At 45.9% G+C, this 24,300-nt stretch overlaps 1 protein-coding gene, 1 long non-coding RNA gene and 1 pseudogene across 3 annotated transcripts in view, besides 19 other annotated features; 1 reads left to right on the top strand and 2 right to left on the bottom strand.

The window, feature by feature from the left end:
- On the bottom strand, positions 700–12,460 carry CYP2E1 (cytochrome P450 family 2 subfamily E member 1). The gene is made up of 9 exons (NM_000773.4): positions 12,251–12,460; positions 11,183–11,342; positions 8,089–8,238; positions 7,539–7,699; positions 6,955–7,131; positions 5,926–6,067; positions 2,573–2,760; positions 1,931–2,072; positions 700–1,043 (listed from the first exon to the last, which is right to left on the bottom strand). Exons 1-9 carry the CDS (start codon positions 12,425–12,427, stop codon positions 859–861), a joined length of 1,482 nt encoding a protein of 493 aa, NP_000764.1. The 5' UTR covers positions 12,428–12,460; the 3' UTR covers positions 700–858.
- Positions 7,236–8,435: an enhancer, noted in NCBI's record as "BRD4-independent group 4 enhancer chr10:135344892-135346091 (GRCh37/hg19 assembly coordinates)". NCBI's record gives its function as "activates an origin of replication core promoter dependent on BRD2, P300/CBP, MED14 and CDK7 cofactors, and independent of BRD4, by STARR-seq in HCT116 cells {active_cell/tissue: HCT116}" and the evidence as "EXISTENCE:reporter gene assay evidence [ECO:0000049][PMID:35650434]".
- Positions 12,365–13,822: a promoter, noted in NCBI's record as "1.4 kb promoter". NCBI's record gives the evidence for it as "EXISTENCE:reporter gene assay evidence [ECO:0000049][PMID:10825386]".
- Positions 12,365–16,172: a biological region, named in NCBI's record as "CYP2E1 5' regulatory region". NCBI's record gives its function as "regulatory_interactions: CYP2E1".
- Positions 12,453–13,006: a promoter, noted in NCBI's record as "EcoR1/SmaI fragment; -539 promoter". NCBI's record gives the evidence for it as "EXISTENCE:reporter gene assay evidence [ECO:0000049][PMID:3233219]".
- Positions 12,453–16,172: a promoter, noted in NCBI's record as "-3710/+25 promoter fragment". NCBI's record gives the evidence for it as "EXISTENCE:reporter gene assay evidence [ECO:0000049][PMID:17353354]".
- Positions 12,757–12,781: a transcriptional cis regulatory region, noted in NCBI's record as "HNF4 site". NCBI's record gives its function as "mediates activation of promoter by hepatocyte nuclear factor 4 alpha" and the evidence as "EXISTENCE:site-directed mutagenesis evidence [ECO:0005528][PMID:25238230]".
- LOC105378575 (uncharacterized) overlaps positions 12,864–24,300 on the top strand; it is a 35,536-nt gene continuing 24,099 nt past the window's right edge. Inside the window, exons 1-2 of one of the 2 annotated variants that reach the window (XR_946512.3) lie at positions 12,864–13,063; positions 13,680–20,152. This is a non-coding gene — a long non-coding RNA (uncharacterized LOC105378575). Of the gene's footprint in view, positions 20,153–24,300 lie in introns of both variants that reach the window. The other variant, XR_007062396.1, reaches the window with a different exon arrangement.
- Positions 13,007–13,134: an enhancer, noted in NCBI's record as "-671 to -544 element". NCBI's record gives its function as "mediates activation of promoter by interleukin 4" and the evidence as "EXISTENCE:reporter gene assay evidence [ECO:0000049][PMID:15345327]".
- Positions 13,026–13,042: a protein binding site, noted in NCBI's record as "TonE; overlaps STAT6 site that is important for activation by interleukin 4 (PMID:20723539)". NCBI's record gives its function as "mediates stimulation of transcription by hypertonicity" and the evidence as "EXISTENCE:protein binding evidence [ECO:0000024][PMID:17440116]".
- Positions 13,423–13,835: an enhancer, noted in NCBI's record as "-1372/-960 fragment; C allele at rs3813867 increases enhancer activity". NCBI's record gives the evidence for it as "EXISTENCE:reporter gene assay evidence [ECO:0000049][PMID:1778977]".
- Positions 14,007–14,013: a transcriptional cis regulatory region, noted in NCBI's record as "NFATc1 site". NCBI's record gives its function as "mediates activation by interleukin 4" and the evidence as "EXISTENCE:site-directed mutagenesis evidence [ECO:0005528][PMID:20723539]".
- Positions 14,413–14,694: a tandem repeat, noted in NCBI's record as "-2178 to -1945 tandem polymorphic repeat region; contains 6 copies of 42 bp, 48 bp, or 60 bp repeat units". NCBI's record gives the evidence for it as "COORDINATES:motif similarity evidence [ECO:0000028][PMID:10491286]".
- On the bottom strand, positions 15,698–15,746 carry LOC124902569 (uncharacterized; annotated as a pseudogene).
- Positions 15,843–16,163: an enhancer, noted in NCBI's record as "59 bp repeat enhancer region". NCBI's record gives the evidence for it as "EXISTENCE:reporter gene assay evidence [ECO:0000049][PMID:17353354]".
- Positions 15,871–15,906: a tandem repeat, noted in NCBI's record as "59 bp repeat (partial)". NCBI's record gives the evidence for it as "COORDINATES:motif similarity evidence [ECO:0000028][PMID:17353354]".
- Positions 15,909–15,967: a tandem repeat, noted in NCBI's record as "59 bp repeat". NCBI's record gives the evidence for it as "COORDINATES:motif similarity evidence [ECO:0000028][PMID:17353354]".
- Positions 15,971–16,028: a tandem repeat, noted in NCBI's record as "59 bp repeat". NCBI's record gives the evidence for it as "COORDINATES:motif similarity evidence [ECO:0000028][PMID:17353354]".
- Positions 15,981–16,010: a protein binding site, noted in NCBI's record as "GATA site". NCBI's record gives the evidence for it as "EXISTENCE:protein binding evidence [ECO:0000024][PMID:17353354]".
- Positions 16,032–16,090: a tandem repeat, noted in NCBI's record as "59 bp repeat". NCBI's record gives the evidence for it as "COORDINATES:motif similarity evidence [ECO:0000028][PMID:17353354]".
- Positions 16,094–16,150: a tandem repeat, noted in NCBI's record as "59 bp repeat". NCBI's record gives the evidence for it as "COORDINATES:motif similarity evidence [ECO:0000028][PMID:17353354]".
- Positions 19,421–19,620: a silencer, noted in NCBI's record as "silent region_2984". NCBI's record gives its function as "represses an Ori minimal core promoter by ATAC-STARR-seq in GM12878 lymphoblastoid cells {active_cell/tissue: GM12878}" and the evidence as "EXISTENCE:reporter gene assay evidence [ECO:0000049][PMID:35858748]".

The following is a 24,300-nucleotide window of genomic DNA, read 5'->3' as shown; positions in this document are numbered from 1 at the left end:
TGCACACACAGGTCGATACGCATCCTGACGTTAGGAAAGGATTACTGTTAGGGTTTTGGGACTCAGACTGGCTTCCCTGCTCCTCAGCTTGCAGACGGCCTATTGTGGGACTTCACCTTATGATCATGTGAGTCAATTCTCCTAATAAACTCCCTTTCGTATATACATCTATCCTATTGTTTCTGTCCCTTTAGAGAAACCTGACTAATACAAATTCCCCACCTCAATATGATTCTGACACTGAAGTTGTGTGATCCTAGATGGAAGAGCTTTTCAATAACATGAAAATTATGTTATAACTTAATATTAAAGTAAACATATATATTTAAAACCTCTCTCTGGCTGGGCGCGGTGGCTCATGCCTGTAATCCCAGCACTTTGGGAGGCCGAGGTAGGTGGATCACCTGAGGTCAGGGGTTCAAGACCAGCCTGACCAACATGGTGAAACCCTGTCTCTACTAAAAATACAAAAAATTAGCTGGCATGGTGGTGGGTGCCTGTAATCCCAGCTATTCGGGAGGCTGAGGCAGGAGAATCACTTGAACCCAGGACACAGAGGTTGCAGTGAGCCAAGATCATGCCACTGCACTCCATCCTGGTCAACAAGAGCAAAACTCTCAAAAAAAAAACAAAAATAAAAAAAAAAAAAACCTCTCTGTGAGAATCACTTAAACAATTAAGATATTCCATGACTTAACATATAGTTAAAATAATCATGTGATGATTTATTTATATTCTGGGAAAATATTTATTTTCAAATACTCATATGCAAAGAAAGGAATCAGTTTGAGAAATCCTGACCTCAAACAATTTGAAAACTTGTTTGAAAGCGGGGGGTTCAGGGTGTCCTCCACACACTCATGAGCGGGGAATGACACAGAGTTTGTAACGTGGTGGGATACAGCCAAACCCAATATGTATAGGGCTGAGGTCGATATCCTTTGGGTCAACGAGAGGCTTCAAATTAAAATGCTGCAAAATGGCACACAACAAAAGAAACAACTCCATGCGAGCCAGGCCTTCTCCAGCACACACTCGTTTTCCTAGAAGTAACAATGGTATTGATGAGACACTGAGGGAGTTTCAGAGACACGACACTGTTAACAGTGAGACTAGGGGAAGCGGGGAGGAGGAGGCTGTGGGCAAACGGCCATCACAAGGCAGGACTCACCCTTCTCTGCCTATTAAAAGAAGCACAAAATGTACTTGAGTGGAAGGATACCAGCAACACTGACTAATTCGGGGACCAGTCTTCATACAATCTCAATTATCCAGAGCTCAACTGCAAAAACCGGTGTTAAGTTGGGAAGACCGTGTCTGCCCAGTAAAGAAGGCACCCCCAGTGCTCATCAGTGATGCCTACAGGAGGGAAATAGTGCCCTGTTAGAAGCTGGGGCTCCAGCACTGGGTGTGAAAAGTATGGAGTTGGTTGTATGATCTTCCCACAACAATCCCTAAGATGAGGCCCTGGGAAGGAGGACAAGTGCCTCAAAGAAAATCACTGAGTCACATCCCAGGAAGGCTTTGATGCTTCCTGTGATGATTCTAGGTAACCAAAGGTTAGGTTTTGTTTAGTAGCTCTGGTTTAAAATTAGGGAGAATTGGGTAATATGGCTTTGAGAGCTTTTCACTAAGTCTTGTTAAAATAGAAACAAAATTTAGCAATGAATGATGTAAAATGTCTAGTCTTTGGGAAAAAAAAAATCCACCTACAACAACACTTCATTCCCAGGATTGCTGCTAAAAGATGTTATGTAACTTCTCTGAACAGGGAAGAGCACATTTGGGTCATGTTGTCAATAGAAACAGGGCACACAGTGAGGTTTGGGGTGTCAGTGGGTGCCTGGGACGAGGGCAGAGCACATGTGGAGGGGAGATGAGGAGTGTGGGCTGCTCCTCAAGGGAAGGTACTGCCTCTGATCTTTCTCACCTGTGGAAAATGGCTTGAAATAGTCACTGTACTTGAACTTTCCATTTTCATTCAGGAAGTGTTCTGGCTTAAACTTTTCTGGATCAGGAAATTCTTGGTTGTCATACAAAACAGAGTCCAGAGTTGGCACTACGACTGTGCCCTAGGAGAAACAAAGACTGTCTCAGTGAGTCATGTTAACAAAATGTGGGCTTTCATCTGGAAACCCCCAGTGAAGAATGTAGTTTTGAATATTATGCTATATAGGATAGTATATTTCCAGTTGAAGGAGTTGCTTAGTGAAGGATTAGATAGAAAGCAGTCAGGGGTCAGGTCTAAATGAAGATGAAAGCCCTAATCTTCTCACAGGATTAACCCCAGGGCTGGTTGTGATAGTTTGTTCCTGGCATTAGAATTCACTACAGTCCCAGGCACTATCTGCTGAGGCTCTTTTCCAGATTTCCTCCACCTCTCTGGTCACCAGGCCAATGTGAGCACTCCTGGAGATGCAGTATCCCACAGGGTGGGAGTGGGGCCAGCCCTTCCCCTCAGTGACCCCTGCCAAAGGGAAGGGTCTTGGGGCCCCCATCCTGCTCCCTGGCAGGAAGGCGATTAGCTGATAGGATGGTGTTCATGCTGTGTGCTGCAGGCTCATTGCTTAACCTTGGGGATGAGGTATCCTCTGAAAATGGTGTCTCGGGTTGCTTCATGGGGCAGGTTGGAGGGCACGAGGGTGATGAACCGCTGAATCTCATGCACCACAGCATCCATGTAGGGCATCTCTTGCCTATCCTTGATGGCAGGGATTCGGCTTGGCCCAATCACCCTGTCAATTTCTTCATGGAGCTTCTCTGCCAAGATATGAATGGGACAAATTTCAGGGATTGGTTCCTGGCCAGTTGGGCATCCACCCATCATCCACCCATCTATTCAATCACGCTTTTATCCATCTGCCCACCTACACATCCATCCACCCCTCCATCTATACACCCCTCCATCCATCCATCCATCCTCCATCCATCCACCCATGCATCCATCCACCCACCCACCCAGCCAGCCAGCCATCCACCCTCCCATCCACCCACCCACCCATCCATCCAACCACCCATCCATCCACCCTCCCATCCACCCACCCACCCATCCATCCAACCACCCATCCATCCACCCACCCACCCATCCATCCAACCATCCACCCATCCACCCATTTATCCACCCTCCCATCCATCCATCCACCCATTTATCCACCCTCCTATCCATCCATCCACCCAACCACCCATCCACCCATCCATCCACCCACCCACCCACCCACCCATCCATCCAGCCATCCCTCCATCCACCTACCCACGCATCCATCCAAGCATCCACCCATCCACCCATCTATACATCCAACCATCCACCCATCCACCCACCCTTCCATCCATCCACACATCCATTGACCCATCCATCCATCCACCCACCCATCCATCCAACCATCCATCCATCCATCCATCCATCCATCCGTCCGTCCATCCACCCACCCATCCAGCCATCCATCCACTCCCCTACCCACGCAGAAGATGTTTATGGAGCATCCTAAGCAGTGCTTAAGGTTCCCCAGGTCCTTTGAATTACTGGAAAATGCTCCAAAAACTTAGTGAGAGCTAAGCTCTATGAGGTTATTTACTGGATGTTTTGGCATCCATTATCTCAGTTGATGATGGCTTATTCAGTTCTCTTCATGTCAAGAGCAGAGAATAATGAAAGTGTTTTGGAAATTTCTTCTGGGAGGGTAACCTTTGCATTGATAATTACCCCAGGCTTGTTTATTGCATGCTTCTGAGTATGAAGGGGGTTTACAGAACAGAATCAGACATGCAGGGTCTACTTCTTGAATCTGAAAGCCTCTGTCTTTCTGACAGAGGTAACAGCTGCCTTGAGCAAGTCGCCTAGCCTCCCCGTGTTTGGAGTTCCCATGGAACATCATCATATGTTGAGTGAAAAAACCAAGCTGCAAAATGTTATGTACAGTACCCAGGTAAAATATTAAACACATACAGCAATAATATGAATACTGTGCTGATAATTAACAACTGTTAAAAGTGCAAAGCCACACAGCAATTCTGAAGCCATTTCTGGTGAGAGAGGTGGGGAGATGTGAGGAGGTAGACTTTGGCTGGCTCTGTAACACATTTTCTTTTTAAGAGCTCTGATGGAAGTATCGCAAAATGTTAATAAACGTTCAATTTGGCAATGGATATATACATGTCAATCATATTTATTTTCCTTTTGTCTATATTGGAACCTCCTCATAAATAATAATTTAAAACATTTTTTGATTCCATGGTTCCCCTAGTGCAGAGTAGTCGAAAGTTCTCTTATAATCACTGCAGATCCATACAATGATTCCTTCCCTAAACTTTTGGCTCCTTCACCCTTCACATTTCCATGTGATTGAAAAAGCAAAGGCCAGGGATGGGGCACGGTGGCCACACCTGTAACCCCAGCACTTTGGGAGGCCAAGGCAGGAGGATGACTTGAGCCCAGGAGTTCAAGACCAGCCTACAAAACATAGTAACAACTTGTCTCTACAATTTTTTTTTTAGACTGATTCTTGCTCTGTTGTCAGGCTAGAGTGCAGTGGGGTGCAATCTCGGATCACTGCACCCTGTGCCTCTGAGGTTGAAGCGATTCTCCTGCCTCAGCCTCCTGAGTAGCTGTGACTATAGGCGCGTGCCACCACACCCGGCTACTTTTTTGTATTTTAGGAGAGACAGGGTTTCATCATGTTGGCCAGGAAGGTCTCGAACTCCTGACCTCGTGATCGCCTGCCTCAGCCTCCCAAAGTGCCAGGATTACAGGTATGAGCCACTGTGCCCAGCCAAAATAATTTTTTTAAATTTTTAATCAGCTGGGTGTGGTGGTGTGCACCTGTGGCCCAGTTACTTGGGAGGCTGAGGTGGGAGGATCGCTTGAGCCCAATAGGTAGAAGCTACAATGAGCCATGATTGCATCACCGCACTCCAGCCTGGGCAACAGAGTGAGACCCTGTCCCCTCAAAAAAAAAAATAAATAAATAAAAAGAAGAAGAAGAAGGAAAGAACAAGAAAAGCCCAGGGTCTGACCCTGGATCCATCACATGTCGACTTTCTTGGGGGAAATAACTTCATAGCCTATAATACCTGCTTTCAGGAACTGACGAGCCTTAAGACCACAAGTGACCATTAGCAGCAGCTTCAGGAGGAGGGCGGCACACACCACTCAGGCTGTGAACTGCCTCGGGCAGAGGCTGCCCAGCCCTGTTTCCAGCCCAGCGAGAGGCAGGGGCTCTGGGCCCCCCGGCACTCTCCAGCCAGGCTGCAGCTCCCTTTCCTCCCCTTTACTTGGACCCAACCCTGACTGGCCTGTTTGCATGCGGGTGCCCTCACATCACCTCTACTTGGCCCAGATGGGTGTTTCTCAGGGCATGACCCTCTGCCCACCTAGACCCAGACCTTTCACACCTCCTCCAGGCACAGAGTCCCAGCTGCCCCAGGTGCCGCTGGGAGGAGCCCTGTGGAAGGAACAAGGGTCCAGGGCAGCTGTAGCTGCTTCTTCCTGGACTTCCCTCCTCACGTCCGCATTTGAGGAAGACGCCCCAGCAAGGACCCTCCCCTCCAGCTCCAACCTCCCCACCTGCTCTGCCTAGAAGACCAGGTCTTACTTGGGGGGAACTGGGACATTATCTTCTCTGTCATAAAGAGGTTATTTATGGAGCAGAATGCAGACCCTGCCACCTCTCTCCACTCTGGTGTTGGGATGTTCTTTTCTGCAACCAGGGGTGTCTTAGTGGGGTATGGACCAACCAGTGTGCAAGAGTACCAGGTGTTCAGCACAGACCATAACACCTCCCCTCACAGCAGTGCATCTAGCCATCTCACCACATCACCATGAGGGTTAACAAGCAGCTTCAGACAGAAAGCTGCAGCCTAAAATGTGCAAGGCTGGCCATCCAGGGAGATGCAGCCGCACGCACGGTGTCCCTTCAGTCACTTGCCTACCTTCGATCTCAGGGTATTTCATGAGAATCAGGAGCCCATATCTCAGAGTTGTGCTGGTGGTCTCTGTCCCCGCAAAGAACAGGTCGGCCACAGTCACGGTGATACCGTCCATTGTGTACAAGCGCTCTGCACTGTGCTTTTCCTGTGATACCGGAGACAGACCGGAGGAGAAGGGGCTGCTTGTCTCCTTTCAGCACAGAACCAGCCACCTCCCAGCTCCACAGGGACACAGGAGACAGTGTCCAAGAGGCTCTCCCAGTGGAACTGTGACTTGGAGCTGTGACAGACAGAGTCATCTCCACCTCACAGCCAGGGAAACTGAGGCTCCCAGAAATCTGCTGAGGGCAGGCCAGGGCTCTGTCTCCCTCCACAGCATGAGGGCCATCCTGGGAGAGGTGAGATCCCCCTGACCTTGGTCATAGCTCAGGCAGGAGCTAAACGGCTCCTGCTAACCCCTCCTGCTACAGGGCTAGTGTCTGCTGCCACGAGGGGCCAAACTGGTGGAGAAGATGCTCAGACAGTCCTGGGAAATCAGTGTGGGCTCCACATTTGTTCTTGAGCCACAAGCCATAGGAAAGGACAAGACAAGGATACAAGAAGTTTCACCAAGGTGGGAAGGGGGCAGGGGATCAGGATCCTGAGCACCTGCAGGTGGATGAAGCTGGGGAGGCCTGGAAGTCCTGCAGCTGCGCACAGTTGGGGAGTGCATGCCCACAAGGAAGGCTGAGGGCTTCTCCTCAGACAAAATGCAATTCTCAAAGTCTGCAGACTAGAAAGGGTTGAGCAGCAGGGCCTGGAGAGAGCTAAGCGTCCCGCCCATGTGACCCCAAAGCCCCAGGCCAGCTTGGCAGCCAGGCAGGCTGACTTGCGTCCAGTGGTCATGCTGAAGCCAAGAGTGTGTGTATGAAACTCAGAGCATGCTGCGGTGGGAGGTCTGGACACCAGCAAGTGCAGCTCACTCTGTAAATCTGAAATTGTGCATTCTCTGCCCACCCCGGAGAGCCCACATCATGGGAGGGCCGAGCCTACCTTCTCCATTTCCACGAGCAGGCAGTCGGTGAGGTCCCGGGGACAGTTGGGGTCCAGAGATTGATGGTGCTCCTTCACCCTTTCAGACACATACTCTTTTACTTCAGCCACATTTTTTATGACTTTTCTGTGGCTTCCAGGCAAGTAGTGTAGAAAGCTGGGAAAATTATTGTAAAGCTAGAGAGGGAAAAAAATATTTTACTACTTTTTTCTGGATGCAACATAATTGTGTGTGTTGGACCAACAACTTTCTCCAAACCTGAATTTGTGGCTGTAATCATTGTTTATTTGGAATATTTTGGGTCAACAGTGTCCTTCTTGGGCACCATTCTCCTCAGCAGTGCAAACTCTGCATGGCAAATGTGCACACACAGGTCGATACACATCCTGACGTTAGGAAAGGGGGTGCGTGGGGCCCCAGAGATGTCTCTGGGAGGAATATTTGGGCTGTCTAATCAAACACCCCTCGAAGCTATGTTGTTTGGCTTTTGCAGTCCTGTCTATCACATATAACCCAAATTTTCCTTCTTTTTCTAACGTAAACTCTACAGTTGATGACTGATGAAAGAGGAAAGTGGCTTCACCTGGAGCCAGGGAGTGCTGAGTAGGTGGAAGTTCTCATTAAACAAATACATCAGCCTTAGAAACTTCTCATCATTGTAGTCAAAATGCTTGCGGAAGAGGATGTCGGCTATGACGTTGCAGGGCGCGCAGCCGATGAGGAAGGTGGGGTCGAAAGGCTGGCCTACAAAACAGGCAGTCAGGGCAACCAGAAGATGGGGGTGAGGAGACTCCTCCACCTGCTCAGTCACCCACTGAGGTTCACCAAGGCCTGTGAGAAGGTGCCCTGAAAACTGCCAGTTTACGAAAGATAGTGAATGTCTGAACCTGTTTGAGTTTCCTTTGCTTTTCAACAGTATTTAGGATACAAGTCACGTGTTTAATGGCCACCCTTGCTCCCTGAACTGTGTAGCTGGAACCTAGAGTTGTAAAATGCAGTATCTGGGGACTCACGAGACCCTCTCCTTGTCCGTAGGTCCCTGTGGTTCAGATGCAGTCTAGGAGTCCCAGCCAGGGCTCCCCACACCGCTGGTCTGCAAGAGGACTGGGCCCTGCTAGGCAGCAGATACGCACCTTGGGTCTTCCTGAGTGCTTCCAGCAGGAAGTGGGCCTCCCTCTGGATCCGGCTCTCATTGCCCTGTTTCCCCATCCCATAGTTCCGGAGGGTGGTCAGGGAAAACCGCCGGATGTCCTTCCAGGTAGGTCCATTATTAAAAATGATTCCTAAGGCAGAGGGGCCAGCAGAAGGTTATTCTAAATACCCATTTTGGGGAGAAATGGGCTACAGAGGGCCTTGGAGAGCAGGGCAGGATTTACAGGTGTATAAAGAAGTGACAGAGGGGGCAGAGGGACAGAGAGACAGAGGGGTGTCCCAGCCTGGGAGCTGCCAGCACCGGCCACTGGTCAGGTTTTGGGGAGGAGCCTTTCTGGGGTCCTCACAGTCTGCACTGTGGTTTCTTCATCACATGTAGCCTCTCCTGGGTGCTCTACTTCATGCTGTCAATTTACCTTCTTTCTTTTTCCTTTCTGCTGAGTCTTCCCCATGCTACATAAAACCACATATGGCCACTCCAAGAACACCTCCCACCTCTTTCCTATCTATCGACAACATTCTTGAAAAGCCATTCATTCTGTTCTCACAGATTTTTAACCCTCACACCACACACACCTCAACTTGCAGCTTTCCGACTCCACAGCAAGTTTCTTCACTAAAATCTTGCAGGTCACACAAGTGACTGTGCAAAGCATCAGAGCTGGGAAAACCAAGAACTGTCCCTACTGCACCCTTCTGAGCTGTCAAGGCCTGGCCCTGCCCTGTCTCTCCTCCCAAGAGTTGCTTGATGGATCCTCCCGAGAGTATGAACACATTTGGAATCAACAAATTTAAAGCTAAACTTTTTATTCTTTAAAAATGTTCGCATATTCCCACGCTTATCTCAACTAACTGTAAACCTTTTTATTTTCTCCCAGATAGGAACCTTGAAATGATCCCTGTTCCCCTGCACACTCCCAGCCACACCCCCTTTACACCGCAGGGGCCCCTAGCCCCTCTCTCCCTCGCTCTCCGTCTTCCTCTTATCCATCATCACTTCCTCAATAAATACATTTTGGGTACTTCCTGCATATAAGACATCCTGCCAGCTCTGGGCATTCTGCGGTAAACAAGGGTCATGTCCTATGCAGCTTCATTAGCTGATTGACCACTGACCACTCCTGGGAGGCGCCTGCAGGGTGCTCAGAAAGTGCCTGGTGAAGCTGTGCTCGTGTGTTCCAGAAGCAAGGCTGTCCGGCCTGAGAGGGGCGGGAGGGCACATGAGATGAGGTGGGTGGGGCAGGGGTGCAGCTGGACTGAGGGTTTCATTTCATCCTGAAAGGTGGGGAGGAAGGACTGAGGAGACAGGTGGGACAGAGGGGCAGACGTGGTCATGTTGAGTGGAGGACATCCCGAGATGACCCATTTAGACAGAGTTCAACAGGTTAAAAATCTAGGTTGGGAACCAAACTTTCTCCGTTTTATGAACTTTTTCTGAAAGGATGTCTGCAGTTCCCTTGACACATTATCACACAGCCTGTGCTCAGTATTGTGCTAATAAGGAATATTTCCATCATTGTCCCTTAAGGGCCAGGTGCAGCCCATGCCCAGGGCTCTGCTAATTTTCCGCCAGTCTGCGCCCTGCGGGTCATATGAAAATGAAACTTTAGACCCTCCAGGCAGAGGCAGCAAAGTCCCCTTGAGCCCCATCTGTGTTGATGTGAATTCCGCTCCCCTCCCTGCTGCCTCCGACTGTGCCTTGGACCCGTGGGTGGCAGATAAGGGCTCCCCGGAACCAGAACTGAGCTCCTCAACCACAGAACCCCAGAGCCTCCTCCAGTAATGCTTCTCCTGCGTTAACGACAAGGACTGAGATGGTTAATTTTGTTTTTGGCAACCCCAGAGAAGTAAAACCCACAATGCAGAAGAAGGAAAACCAAATGCCACTAATTGTGATACAACCACCCCGTTGCCCGCTTCCGGAGACAAGGTTCTGGACGCGGTCCTGGCGCGGGAACCTGAGCTGGAGCCGGCGACCCCCGCCCGCCACCAGCCCGCGCCCCGCAGAGCGCACGCTCAAGAGCGCGAACACCCAGCGTCTGCTCTGTGCTGACGGCGTTCTTTATCAGCTCATTTAATTTTTAGATTTGTTGGCCCATTCGACGTTCACAATGTTCAGAAATGTACGCTGGACAAATAAATAGGGCAAGAGCACGAGCTCACCGATTTAAAAATTCCACACAGCATTGCAAAGGTTTTCTGGAGCCTCGTCATCAAAGTTGACCCAGGAAGAAGTAGAGGCTTCCATGTGGGACACTGTTATTTCTAATCTACTTTGAAACCGCAGGGCAGGCAGGGAGGGAGGAAGGAGAAAGAAGCAGCAGGCCAGGTCTGCAGGCAGGAAGAGGAGAGCCGGCCGGCAGCCGCCGCCTCGCTGAGGTCTGAAGCCAGGAGGCTGGGAGAATGCGCAGATAAAGACGAGCCAGACCTCCAGACCGCAACCCTCCTCTCCCTAGAGAGGGAACAGGCCGCTTTCTGCTTATGCTGAACTCGGGGCTCTGGAGACAGGAAGCGTGGAGGAGACAGCAGAGGTGAGGCTGGGAGATAGGATTTCAGTGGGTCTCTTCCCCCTTCCCGGTCTCAGGACATCCACCCCAGCGGGACATCAGAGACTCCCTCTCTGGAGGTCACCAGCTGCAGCTGAGCAAAGCCCTGAAGCGAGCAGTGTCCGCAGCTTCCGACGCCTCAGCGTGGGTGAGGGGACCTCGGTGGACGAAGCCACCTGTACCCCGGCGGTTGAACAGGAGGGGAAAGCGCTCCCGGGAGGAGCCTGCGGGCCCAGAGGCGGAACGGTGGGGGTGGGGGCGGCGACTCCTGCTCAGAAGCAGCCCCGCCCATCCCCATAAACTCTCCCGCACAGTCGCCGAGAGGCCGGATTCCTGGGCGACTCAGTGCGCCTCGCTCCGCAGGCAACGCGCGGGGGCCATCGCCCTAATCCTGATCTCATCCTTCGGATGCTGTTACTATAATATTACTGTTAGTTTATTATTTGGCCATCGCCGACGTGGCTAGCGCCCGTAACTGTCCCGGGGCGTGTTATGCACCCCCCGCTCCGTGCCAGGGACGCGGACTCACCCCTGTCCCTGTGCGCATGGAACGCGGGGAGGTCGCCTCTGCCCGAGAACTCGTCCTTGTAGTCCAGCAGCGCTTCCTTCACCGCCTTGTAGCCGTGCATCACCACCATGCGCTGCGAGCCCACGTACAGCGTGAACACCGGCCCGAAGCGCTGGGCCAACTGCGGAGACCCGTGGCTAGAAGTCAGGCCCGCCGCGCGGCGAGGAGGTGCGGGGCTCTAAGCCACACCCCTGCCGGGCGGGTATTGCTGTTGCTCTAGAGAACCCAGAGGGACGTGGGGAAAAGCTGTCTTTGTCCAGCCCGAGGTGGGGGAGACCCTCCCCTCAAGAGGCTGCTGCGTCTGCAGGGCGCTCGGGGGGTTCCAGCTGCTCTGCTCCCCACCCGCCTGGACTCCGCGGACAACTCCGCGGCAACTCCGCGGACTCCGGCTCCTCACGTCCCTTCCCTCAGGCGCGCCCACCAACCACCCCGTTGCCCGCTTCCGGAATCAAGGTTCTGGACCCGGTTCTGGCGCGGGAGCCCGAGCTGGAGCAGGCGACCCCCGCCCGCCGTCAGCCTGCGCCCCACAGAGCGCACGCGCAAGAGCGCAAACACCCAGCGCCTGCTCCGTGCTGACGGCGTTATCAGTTCATTTAACGTTTAGGTTTGTTGGCCCATTCAGTGTTCACAACAGTCGTAGGCGGCAGGTATTGGTGCCACACGGGCTGGCCCAACACTTCACGTTTCAACTCGTGCTTTGGCAAACACAGGCGGACGCCCAGCGAGTGCGCATCTGGCCGCCAGCCCGGTTATCCTGGCGTCGCAGCAGCCCGGCCTCGCCGGCCTCCCCATCATCAGCCCCAGGACAAGGCACCGGCGGGGGCCTCCGGGGCCTGGCACGCAGGCTCCGGGCTCCAGCTGCACCACAGGCGACACATTTTGAGTGTCGCTCCAGGATGCTATCAATTCAGGTAATTCACAACAGGCTGGTATTGAACAACCACAATTTGTCTGCAAATGAGTTGAATACACACATACCAGATCCAATTGCTGAGTTATTCTCCCTAAAATCAACACTATTTCTCTTACCCGGGTGAAGGACTTGGGAATATTCTTCAATTCCAACTGGAAGAGGTTCCCGATGATGGGAAGCGGGAAAGGGCCTGGGGGCAGATTCCAGCTGCTGTGCACCTGCCTCCACATGGACACCAGCAGGAGGAAGGCCGCCCACACCAGCAGGGCCACGGTGACTCCGAGGGCAGACATGGTGCCGCTGGGGCCCTGCTGCCAGCCCGGGAGACAATCCTGTGGAAACGGAAGGTTTTTATAATGTGTTCTGAGAAGGAGGGTGACCCACCAACCAATGCCCTCTTGCTACTCGTCTATCCCAAATTACTGGTTTATTATTAGCTGCTGTTGGCCATCGTTTCAAAGGCTGATTCCCGCAATGGTGGCCCCCAGGGGTTCCAGCCAGTGACCTGGTGAGGATGGAGTTGGACTGTGTCAACACCCTGGTTGCTAGCACCTGTCACTGTGCCAGCAAACACATCCAGGAACATGTTGCCAACCCATAGTTAAGAACGTGGGGTGAGGTACCGTCCTGCCCTTTGGCACTGGTTAGACAACGGGGAACTCCAGCCACATCCCCATGCATTTGTTTGGAGTAGGGTTTATGTAATACAACTCCAACCCCATGCCGACCACCTCTAGACACGGTACCGGCCCTCCTGGTGCAACAGCCTCTTGATGTCTGATGAGGAGGTTTGTCTGAGCAGCCCCCAGTAGTACCTGAATCACCACCTGCCACATGAATGGGGCCAGAAGGAAAATTCAACATCGGAATTCGATTCCACTTTCTCAAGTTAACTGGAAAATTCCATGGAAGAAAAATAAAAGGAAAGAGTGAGTCAACCAATTCTGAGAAAGTTAATCTCTGTTTTCATTTTTTTTAAAGGTATATATTCTGGCTGTAGAAAATTAAGAAAAATTGTTCTTTGGAATTATTCCAAATTTAAATTCTTAAAAAATTACATTAGAGTTTTATTGGATTTGTTTTACATTAGGGTAAATTTAGAAGACGATTTTAAAGATATCTTGTCTTTGTTGATCCCGGGACACAATAGAGCTCCACATTGACTAGCTTCTTCTTTCATGTATTAATTATTTTCTTCATACAGACCCTCTTCCACCTTCTATGAAGGTAGTCCATAGGTATTTTGTGGAGCTTTTTTGTGTGTGTGGTTAGAATGAAGAGAATGTTTTTCATTCTGTCTTCTAACTGGCAATATATAGAAGTTCTTAATTCATAGGTTGCAATTTTGTACTTTTATATTAACAATGAATCTTTATGTATAATAGAAAATATGATGAGAAATGAAGAAAATAAAAGTCATTTACAATCCAGCCAAATCACTTGTGGATTTTGAGTTATGCCATTCTATACTTGTATTTATACAAAAATGAGACTACATACTATATATTGCATTCTAACCCAGTTTTTCTCTTGACAATTTATTAGCCACATAAGCAAGTCATTGGTTGTGCTGCACCTAACACTGCACCTCTCCTGAACCAAGAAGGGGCGTTGGCCTCTGGCAGAGGCTTCAGGGGCCTTTGCTTCCCTCTGGTTTTTGGCACCCCTCGAGGTGAGAACTGACAATGTAGACTCGACTGGCTCACGGGTGGGTTAGCCTGCCGCCTCCTCCTCTCTTTCCTTTCCAGTGGCCAGTGTGAGGTGGCAGGGACAATTCCCTGGGCAGAAACAGCTGTCCAGACCCCTGAACCCTGTTGTCCTGTGTGGGCCCAGCCAGGCCTGGCCGGGACAGACACCCATTGGGGTCCACAAGTTTCCTCGATTACTGGTTCCTTCTTCTAGTGCTTGAGAGCAGCAGAGTCAGCTCCCCACAGACTGAAATTGAAGCCTTGGCTTTGGTGGGGTGAGAACAGGAAGCATCAGGGTGGAGAGGCAGAGCAGGCCTCTGGCTCCCCTGGGCTGAGGACACCTTGTCTGTGCAGCTCACCTGAGTGTGCACATCCCAGGCGGGACCCGCGTGCCCTGGAGAGTCTGTGCCTCACAGGGATGCAGCTGTGGTCTGAGTCCTCTGGCCATAATACTGTTAGATGCCCAACCAACATCAAATTTTATATACGGGAACACCTCGTTTGAAAATAATGACATTTCTGTGTGCTTCTTTTCAGAAGCCGGGGCTTTTATTTGTTTTGCATCTGTCCCATTGGCAGGACACTCTAGGACAAGGTGAAATAATCAGGATGACAGAGTGCCTGTGCCTCTGCCCGTGACAAGGTGAAATAATCAGGACGACAGAGTGCCTGTGCCTGTGACAAGGTGAAATAATCAGGACGACAGGGTGCCTGTGCCTGTGACAAGGTGAAATAATCAGGACGACAGGGTGCCTGTGCCTCTGTCCGTGACAAGGTGAAATAATCAGGACGACAGGGTGCCTGTGCCTCTGCCCGTGACAAGGTGAAATAATCAGGACGACAGGGTGCCTGTGCCTCTGCCTGTGCCCGTGGCAGGGTGTTCTTCAGGCTTCCATCACGTCTGCTGTTGGCTGGGTGTGGCAAAGAGGTGACTGTATTGGGACAATTTTCTTCTTTCTCTAGATAACTAACAGTGTTTATCAGGGATGAGAGTTGGGTTAATGAAATCTTTTTTTGATTGAGACAATCCTGTGATTTTTCTCCATAGACCTGCTAGTATGATGCTAGAAGAAAACACTGTCTCACAATGTACCATAAAATTACCATAAATTTTTATATTGTATCATAAAAGTACCTCATAGTTCCACATCACAACCAACTCGTTCATGGAGTGATACTCTTTTAACACCCTAAGGATTCAACTTGTTAATAGTATTTTTAGTAATTTTGCATCTATACCCACAAATAAAATCGGGCTATAATTTTTGTGTTATATTAGGTTCTTGCATAAAAATTGCACTATTCTAGAAATCATTGCAAAACCCCTGTCTTCTCTGTGACTGGGGATACTTTATACTGTAGGGGAATTTTCTGTGCTTCAAAATTTTAATAGAACTCACTAGTAAAGCAATATAGAGAAGATTTACTGGAATTAAATAATTGTTTATAAAGATTAGAAAGATAATTTTAATTGGGGAAGTAAAATATCTCCTTTTAACGAATGCAAACAACACAAAAGTGGGTGAAGTGGAAACTGCGAGTCCCAAATTCACCCTACAAAGGCAGCTTCCATATTTTAAACCCCATTGAGAAGGAAAGATTCTGCTAATTCTCTTTTTATTATTTGCAGTTTTAATTTTGTACCTACTAAAATACTTTTTGGCACTTACTTTAATTCTGTGTATAATGTGCATTTGAGTTACTAGTGTTCTTTGACTTTGACCCAAGAGACTTCCTTTAGTATTTCTTATGACAGGCTTGTGAATTCTCTCGGTGTTGTTTATCCAAGAATGTCTTAATTTCTCTTTCTTTTTGACATTTGATCTTAGCCAAAAGGCTGACATATTTTAAATTTTAATTAATAAATTAATGGGGGAGGGTACCAGAAAACCTGCTAGACAAATTCTAAAGAGCTGTAATACTTCTCTCTTTTTGGAAGAATGTTTTCTGGATATAGAATTCTTGGTTAGCAGTGTTTTTCTTCAGTGCCCTGACTGTGTCATCTCACTGCCTGCTGGTCCCATGGCTTCTGGTCAACAAGTGCTGTTATTTTATCAAGGGCTGATTTACCTGACGACTCATTTGGTTTCGGCGGAACAGGTTCCTGCTATTTTATCCAGGGCTGATTTACCTGATGACTCATTTCGGTTTCGGGTGAACAGGCGCTGCTATTTTATCAAGGTCTGATTTACCTGACAACTCATTTTGGTTTTGGGTGAACAGGTTCCTGCTGTTTTATCAAGGGCTGATTTACCTGACGACTCATTTCAGTTTTGGGTGAACAGGTTCCTGCTATTTTATCGAGGGCTGATTTACCTGACGACTCATCTCACTCTTGCTGCTTCCAGGACTCCCAGTTTCCCTTTGATTGTTTGACTACAGTGTGTGCAGGTATGGCTCTCCTTTCATTTATTCTATTTTGAGAATAAATGAATAAATGACAATAAATGAATATTCATTTATTAAGCTTTTGGATATGTAGATGGATCTTTTTCATCAAATTTGGGGAATTTACACCCATTATTTCTTCAAATAGTATTTTTGTCCCCTTATTTTCTCTCTTTCTGTGATTCCCATTGTACCTGTTAGATACCCTTGATGATGTCCCAAAGGTCTCTGAGGCTCCATTCATTTTTCAACACTTTAGCTGGTGTTCACATTGCAGTTCTGGAGGAACAGATTTTCAGAGCTTCTTATCCTGCCATTCTAGAAGTGCTTCTCTTGTCTATCCTATTTATCAGGAAAATGAGAGCTTTCCAAGAAACTTCCAGAAAATCTGAGATTTTTTAAATTCTTGGTTAGAATGTCACCACTCCTCTGTGCAAGAGGGGCTGGAAAGTGGAAAGACCTTTTAAGTGAATGTGTCAAAATATTAAGGGAATTAGGAATGGGATTGATTACTAATCAATAGTGTGTACCATACTATGGTTGTAAGTATTCTGTGTATTCTTCCAAACTTCAAAAACAATTTATATAAACATACACACACATACTACATTTTGTATTTCACAATTTGTCTATTTTGAGTTGATGAACAATTCAAATGGTTTCCCCAACTATTTATGTTACAAAAGGTGCCACAATGGTGCCCTGTAGATGTATCTTTGTTCAGACATGCACCTATCTCTGTAAGTCAGTTTTGTGGGAGTGGGACGGTTAGGTCACTGGATATGTGGATTTACAATGTTAATAGGTATATAAAACTGCTTCCTCAAAAGGTTGAAACACTTAAAACCCCCCACAGTAGGATGGGAGAGCCAATTTCTACACATCTGCTCCAACACTAGATACTGCCAGTCACCGATAACTGAAAATTCATATGTCATTACTTTAATTTGCATTTCTCTGGTCAATAAAGAAGTAGAGCATCTTTTCATCTACTGATTATTTATTTGAATTTCTTTTTTAATGAAACAATTCCTTCCCTTTTCATATTGGGATTTTACATATTTCCTCTCAGATTTTAAGGACTCTTTGTCTATCAAATAAATAGTAGTTGTTTTCATGTTTGATGGTTTGGAAGTTCCTCCCAGTCTCTTGTTTGATTTCCCATGTAGAAAATTAGATTTTTATACAGTTAAACTTTTCAGACTTTTCCTTTATGGCCTTTGGAATTTAGACAATGTTTTCTAAAAGACCTTCCCCATCAATTATTTTTAATTTAAAAGTCACCATTATGGCCGAGCACGGTGGCTCACGCCTGTAATCCCAGCACTTTGGGATGCCAAGGCGGGCGGATCATGAGGTCAGGAGATCGAGACTATCCTGGCTAACACGGTGAAACCCCCTCTCTACTAAAAGTACAAAAAAGTGGCGGGCGCCTGTAGTCCCAGCTACTCGGGAGGCTGAGGCAGGAGAATGGCGTGAACCCGGGAGGCAGAGCTTGCAGTGAGCCAAGATCTCACCACTGCAGTACAGCCTGGGTGACAGAGCGAGACTCCCGTCTCAAAAAAAAAAAAAAGTCGCCTTTAGAAAAGATCTATGTGGTCTTGTCATTTCTAGGTAAGGTGCCTTGATTTCTCTGACTAGAATCGTGTTTTATTACATTATCTTTTATTTTAAAAATCTACTCAGATATGTTAATATGTATTAAAATTGGCAATTAATCTTCTAATTGTATCTTTTACTGTTATATAAACATCTTTTTGACTCCCCTGATAACTGTTGCTACATGTGTTTGCTTTTCGTAGTATTTCCCTGGTCTATCTCTGCTCATCATAATATTTAAAGTATCTTTATGTTATTTTTGTTCTTGATAGGTGTCCTGTAAACATTCTATAGCTTTGACATAAACGGAAAGTTTTTCCTTTTTATAGAATTAAACGGTCATATTTATCACGATTACTAAATTTGGCTGTTACGATGTGAATGTATGTGTGTGTGTATGCGTGTGTATGTGTGTGCATGTGTGTGTGTGCATGTGTGTATGTATGTATATGTATGTGTGTATGTGTGTTTCCTTTCCCTATGTTCGGATTGATCATTTTTTGTTTGTTCTTTTTGCTTGATGATTTGGACTCCTGTTGTTATTCTACCGGTGGTTACCCTTGAATCTGAAAACACATATAGACCTATAGTTTTTTTATTCACTTGAATAATTTGTCAATATCTTCTGATCTAAACAAGAAGGGACCTTAGCATACTGTTCTTCTCTACTTCTCTTGCAATATACACTCTACCCCAAATCTCAGGAATTTTAGTTTTAGAATATTAGTTTTAAATTTGTTCAAATATACTTCTGTTTTATAAATTAATTTTTATCTAAGGCATTCACATTTTCAGCCACCTATCGAGTGATTATTTGCCCTCAAATATATGCTGTACCAGTCCCTTCGCCTGTTTCTTCTATATCATATCTTGTCTTCCATGGATTCCTGCTCCTAGACACACAACATCTTCCACATAAAATCAGGACCCAATTTTATGTGGAGAGGGTGGGCTGCACGAGGAGGTACACTTGGAATGCCCACCTCCCTGGGCTACTTGACCTCCCTCCATAGCCAACTTCTCTTCAGTGGCAGATCACGTGGCAAAAACATGTTGTCAGACTGACAGCAAACTTGCCTCTCCTCCCTTCACACTCACAAGTAGAAAGCATAAAACATCTCAGAAGTGCTCTAGGAGGATAATCAGTAGCCATAAACCCTTGGACCACAGAGCTACGAGGCAGAAGAATATTACTCTTCTGGGCACCCAAAAGGCTCTGGATAAGAAGGGAGGAGAGTACGGATGGGGCTGAAAACATGCTCAGAATGGCTGATTTGAGGGCTTTCCCCTGGAAACTTCCTCTTGTTTTGTATTGTCAAAAGGTTGAGAACCTTAAAACAGACATTTGTGTGGGCAACTATCTGATGTTCGATGCCATACTTCACTGGAAATAACGACCTTGACAAAAGCCAAACATCTGTTCCAAGTAAAACAAAAGCAGAGAACACACAACCTCGCCGCGTCCAAAGGGCAAGCCACGCTGGTGCAGGAACGAAGCCTCCCGCCTCAGAGGGCGCGGGGCTCTGTGCTGTGTCCTGTCTCCTGTCAGCCGGCTCTGCCCGCACGCTGAGCTGCGGTTATGGCTCCGGGAGCAAACAACCCGGAAGTGGCAGCGCGGCTGGGCGGAGGGCGCCCTCCTGGTTCCGCTGGGGCTGCGGCTCCCTGAGGCCCCGAGGGGACCCCGCTCACCCGGGCCCCGCCCACCAGAGGGCGCCAGAGAGAAGCCACCGGGGAGGCGCCTGCGCTGTTTCCCTGAGCCTCCTGGTACCCCGTTTGAGACACAGGAAAAAACGCGTGAAAGGCTTCTGTAAATTATCAAGTGTGGTGACGTATGAACCCCAGGCAGCCCACTCCCAACCCCAAACAACATCTCATTCAAGCTGCGTCTACCAGAAGCTCGCACATCCAACTGCCTCCCTCCAGAGGTAGCCGCTGTCCCGAATTTTGCTTTGAATGTTCCCTGTGATTTTCTTTTTTATACTGTGTAATTGGATTTTTAAAGGGATTTCATAACATTTATATTCCCGGAGGCTTGAATTTTTTTGCTCATCGTTTTTCGTTACCACGTAGTGAGGTGTTGCTGCAGTTCCTCGACTTTGTGACTCCACAGATACGAATATGTGGCACTTTGTTTAACCACTGTCCTGTCCGATTATTCCCAAGGTTTTGCTACTGCAGACTAGGAACATTTTTGAACATGATTCCTGGAGCACTGTGTAAGAATATCTCTAGGCCAAGTGTATACCTGGGCAACCTAATATACATGGAACCAGATTGTTTTCCAAGTATTTGAACCATTTACCTGCGTCCAGTGGTGTCTAAGTGTTCCTGTTATTCCCAACAGTATGTACTAATAAATTTCTTAATATTTTCCGATTTAGTCAATATAAAATGATATTTAACTGTGGTCCCATTTTGCATTTCCCTGATTATAAAGTAGAGAAACTTTCTCTCCCTATCTCTGTCTTGTCAAAATTATACATACTTTTCTCTGAAATGCCTACTCAAGTATTTTATGTATTTTGCTCTCCTCTTCCCTTGGGGTTTTGGTCTCTCATTGTTTGCAGGAATGCTTTATTCTGATCCGTCCTCAGTTCTATGTGTTGCAATAATTTTTTCCATTCTTTAGGTTACTTTTCTATACTATTTATGGCATTCTTTTTATCAACAGATGTTCTCAAGTTATCAGTCTTGCATTTTTGGATTAGCACTTTCTGAGCTTAAAAAAATCCCTTCTTCCAGCCTGGGTGTTGGAGTGAGACCATGTCTCAAAAAGAAAAATCCTTTCCTAGCCAGAAAGATGATAAAGATAACTGCTTATTTATAAGGTTTTACTGTTCCCATTTATGCCCTAAATCTATGTAGAATTTATTTTTGTACATAGTAAGGACTAAGGAAGTTTGTTTTCCCATATAGATATGAATTGTCCCAGGATCCTGTCTCTGATCCCCAAATCATCTTCCAAAACAAGACAAAGTTCTTACACAGGGAATGCATCAGAGGCCTGTCTCTCCCTGGTCCAATGCCATAGCATTTTAATTATTATAGCTTTATAGTAGTATTGATATCAAATAGTGCAAGTCCTGTGGTGATTCACTCAGGATGGTGGCAGAAATATTAAAGGGACATATTAGGGAAAGTTATAGGGAATAGTCACAAACCTTTTTGGAAGGCTGAAAGGTTACATAGCTTGTAATAATTGAACAGGCTGAAGGCAGCGGGTTCTTACCTTAGAGCATTAGGTCATAGGGTAAATACTAGGGACAATAGAGGCTTCCCCAGTTAAGTCTGTTTACCCTACCTCCATTAACTAACCTTTGAGCCAGATGGCCCTCTTGGTGCGGAGGAGGTTGACCAGGGAAATTGCCCCCTAATGGTATTTAAACCGTGGTACCTGAGCTTTAATCATTCATAGAACTACCGTCTTAACCATGTTAATTATCCACAAGTGTGTTGACTCAGAGCTTCTGTTGTTAAGCGTATACTAAATAAATGCCTGAAGTGCAAGCTGCTCAGAGCCAGCCACAGTGACAAACCTCTCTTGGTGTGTAGGCTGTCGGACACCGAGCTGGACTGGCAAAGCAGAATATCTCTGTGTCAGTGTACGTTGTATTCATCCATCGTTTGGGTCAGGGTCTGCAGGCACACCCCTGCAGCTAATGCCCTCTTGTGAGGAGCAATACCTCGAGTCCCACCACCGTTTTTTATTTCAAGAGTGCCTTGCATACAAATTTTAAGACTCAGTTAGTTAAATTTCCTCAAAAAGTCTTTTGAGATTTTGATTAGAATCACATAAACTCTGTGAATTAAATATCTTTAAAATACTGATTTTTCCTATCCATGATGTGGAATCTGTTTCCATTTATTTAGGCCATTTTAAAATGTTTTCAATAAATTTTATAATTTTCCGCATGTAAATTGTACACATTTTTGTTAACCTTACTCTTAGTTAACGTTGAGTTTTCTAAGCAGAGTTCTTGATAAATTATGTTTTCCAACTATTTATTGCTAGTGTATAGCAATACAAATGATTTTTGCTTATTGATCCTAGAGGCAGCCCCCTTCCTAAACTCTCTTATTTCCAATAATTTCTGTGCAGATTCTTTTGTGGTTTCTCAGTAGACCATCCTGTCGTCTGTGACCAATGAGAGTTTTGCTTTATATCTTTCAATCCTTATTCCTGTAATTTCTTTTTCTTGTCTTATTGCACAAACAGATCCTCAGTACACTGTTGCCTTGATTTTTATTTTAATGGGAAACATCTCAGAAGTTCTCTAAGAGGACGCTCAGTAGCCATTGCCCCTTTATGAATGATGTTTATTGTAAGGTTTTGATAGGTATACTTTTTGAGTTTAAGGAAATTACCTTTTATTTCTAGTCTACTAAGAATTTTTAAGTTAATAATAGATGTTGAATTGTATTAAATGCTTCTTTTGAAATGTTCAGATGATTTTCCCCTTTAATTTGTGAAAGTGGTGAATAAATGTATGGAATAAACACAGTTTGGTCCTGACAGTTTGTCTTTTTAATGTATTGACGGATTTGCACCCAGAGGAAGGGCTGGCTGGCAGCTGCATTTGGTTTACTCACAGGTTGTTTTGGATTTTTGCATCTATGTTCAGTATGAGGCTGGCCCATAGTTTTCTCTTCTGTCTTTCTCTGTGTTGAATATCAAAATTATCCAGGCTCCAAAGAATGATTTGATGACCATTCATTCATATTTGATCCTTTTGAAGAGTTTATGTAAGATTGAAATGATCTAACAGCTTTAGAAGAACTCACTTTTGAAACCATATGGTATTTTTACTTGTGAAAACATTTAGAATTAATAATTCAATGTATTTAAGAGTAGCATAACTGGTCAGGCTCTACACTTCTTGAATTGATTACGAAAACTACATTTTTTCTAGGAATTGTGATTTCTTGTAAGCTGTCAAATTTATTCACATAAATTTGTTTTAGTATTGTCTTATGTTTACAGTCATGGTTGTATTTATCATTATGTTCCTTTGACATCCCAAACATTGTTTATTTGTGCTTTTTTGTGCTTAAGTAGTCTCAGAAGCAGTTTCTCTACTTTATTAATCTTTTTCAAATAGCAAGCCTTGGTTGTGTTCCTCTCTATTTCCTCATTATTTTGTATTTCATGATTTCTGCCCTTCTTTGGGTCCAGTATGCTGCTTAGTTTCAGTTGGACATTTGGCTTATTAATTTTCAGTCCGTCTTTCTTAGTACAAGGACTTATGATTATATATTTACCTGTAAGATCTTCTGTTACTGCTTCCCCAAGTGCTGATATTTAACGGTTCCATTATTCACTGAGCTCTGTGTGCTTTCTTAATCTCCATCCCTTGATTCATGATTCATGTGCAAATGGGGTATTTTTCAAAATATATAGAAATTATTTTTTAATTAGAGAAAATTTCAAATGTGAAAAAACAGTGAGAGAAAGATAAAGCACCCCCACATAGCTAACACTCAAATTCAACAATGGTCAAAATGCAGTTAATTTTGTTGCATCTTTAGAGTTAAGACCTTACTCTCTCTAATCTCTCTCAAACTACTTACAATGCCAATACCACAGCTAAAAATAAAATAATTTTATGAAGATTGTTAGTTTATACTTTTACTGATGTCTAATTTAATTCCATTGTTGTCAGAGAATGTGGTGTGTATATAAGTTTTGTACAGTTTACTGAACTTACTGTATGGCCTAGCACAGTGCTCCCTAGAGTGTGGTATGCAGACCATCGGTGACGAGGCTGTACAGAAATTGAGAGCAGGCAACTGTTCAAACTGTGTTCAAATACGGCAAACACAGAGCTGTAAACAATCCAGCTGTTTCTAGACCTCATTTTCATTTTCTCTACATTTCTTTTCTGTTCATAAATCTTCCACCACGTGGCTCCACTGCAGTCTCTCTGAGCCTATTCTGGCCTAATTAAACTCTGTTAAATTTAATTTGTCTAATAAAGCTTTTCCTTTAAATATAGGATTGGAAGAAATATTGGCCACAAAGGAAAATTCACATTGGCAGAAGTCATAATGAGTTAAAAATAATGGATATGAACCCCCCACAAAAAAACTAAGGAACCAAATCTTCATTGGATAATTTAAATGGAGAAACTAATCTAGAATAAAACCATTAATGTAAAATTAAAGTGCAAAAAAGTCAGACAGTTCAACTACTCTGTGTAAAAACGTGATACGATATTAAATAACTTAAGAGAATTTAAAGAAAAGTCATGAATGTTGGCATAATTCAGTGTTAAAGTTGCATACGTATGTCCAAATGTCACCTGAATTAAAACATCCTTACAATCAAAGTTCAGGATAGAAACTCTCGGGCTCAAAGGTCTCCTGCCTTCCCTACTTTTATCTTGTTAATTTTTTTTTAAAAAAAGAAAAACCAGGTGTTGTGTGTGTGTGTGTTTGAGACACAGTCTCCCTCTATTGCCCAGGCTGGAGTGCAGAGGTGAGATCTTGGCTCA

The sequence above is a fragment of the Homo sapiens genome, chromosome 10, assembly GCF_000001405.40.
Source record: "Homo sapiens chromosome 10, GRCh38.p14 Primary Assembly".
Lineage (NCBI taxonomy): Eukaryota > Metazoa > Chordata > Mammalia > Primates > Hominidae > Homo > Homo sapiens.
The sequence above is the reverse complement of the archived record's forward strand: the minus strand, read 5'-3'. Positions and strand labels throughout refer to the sequence as shown.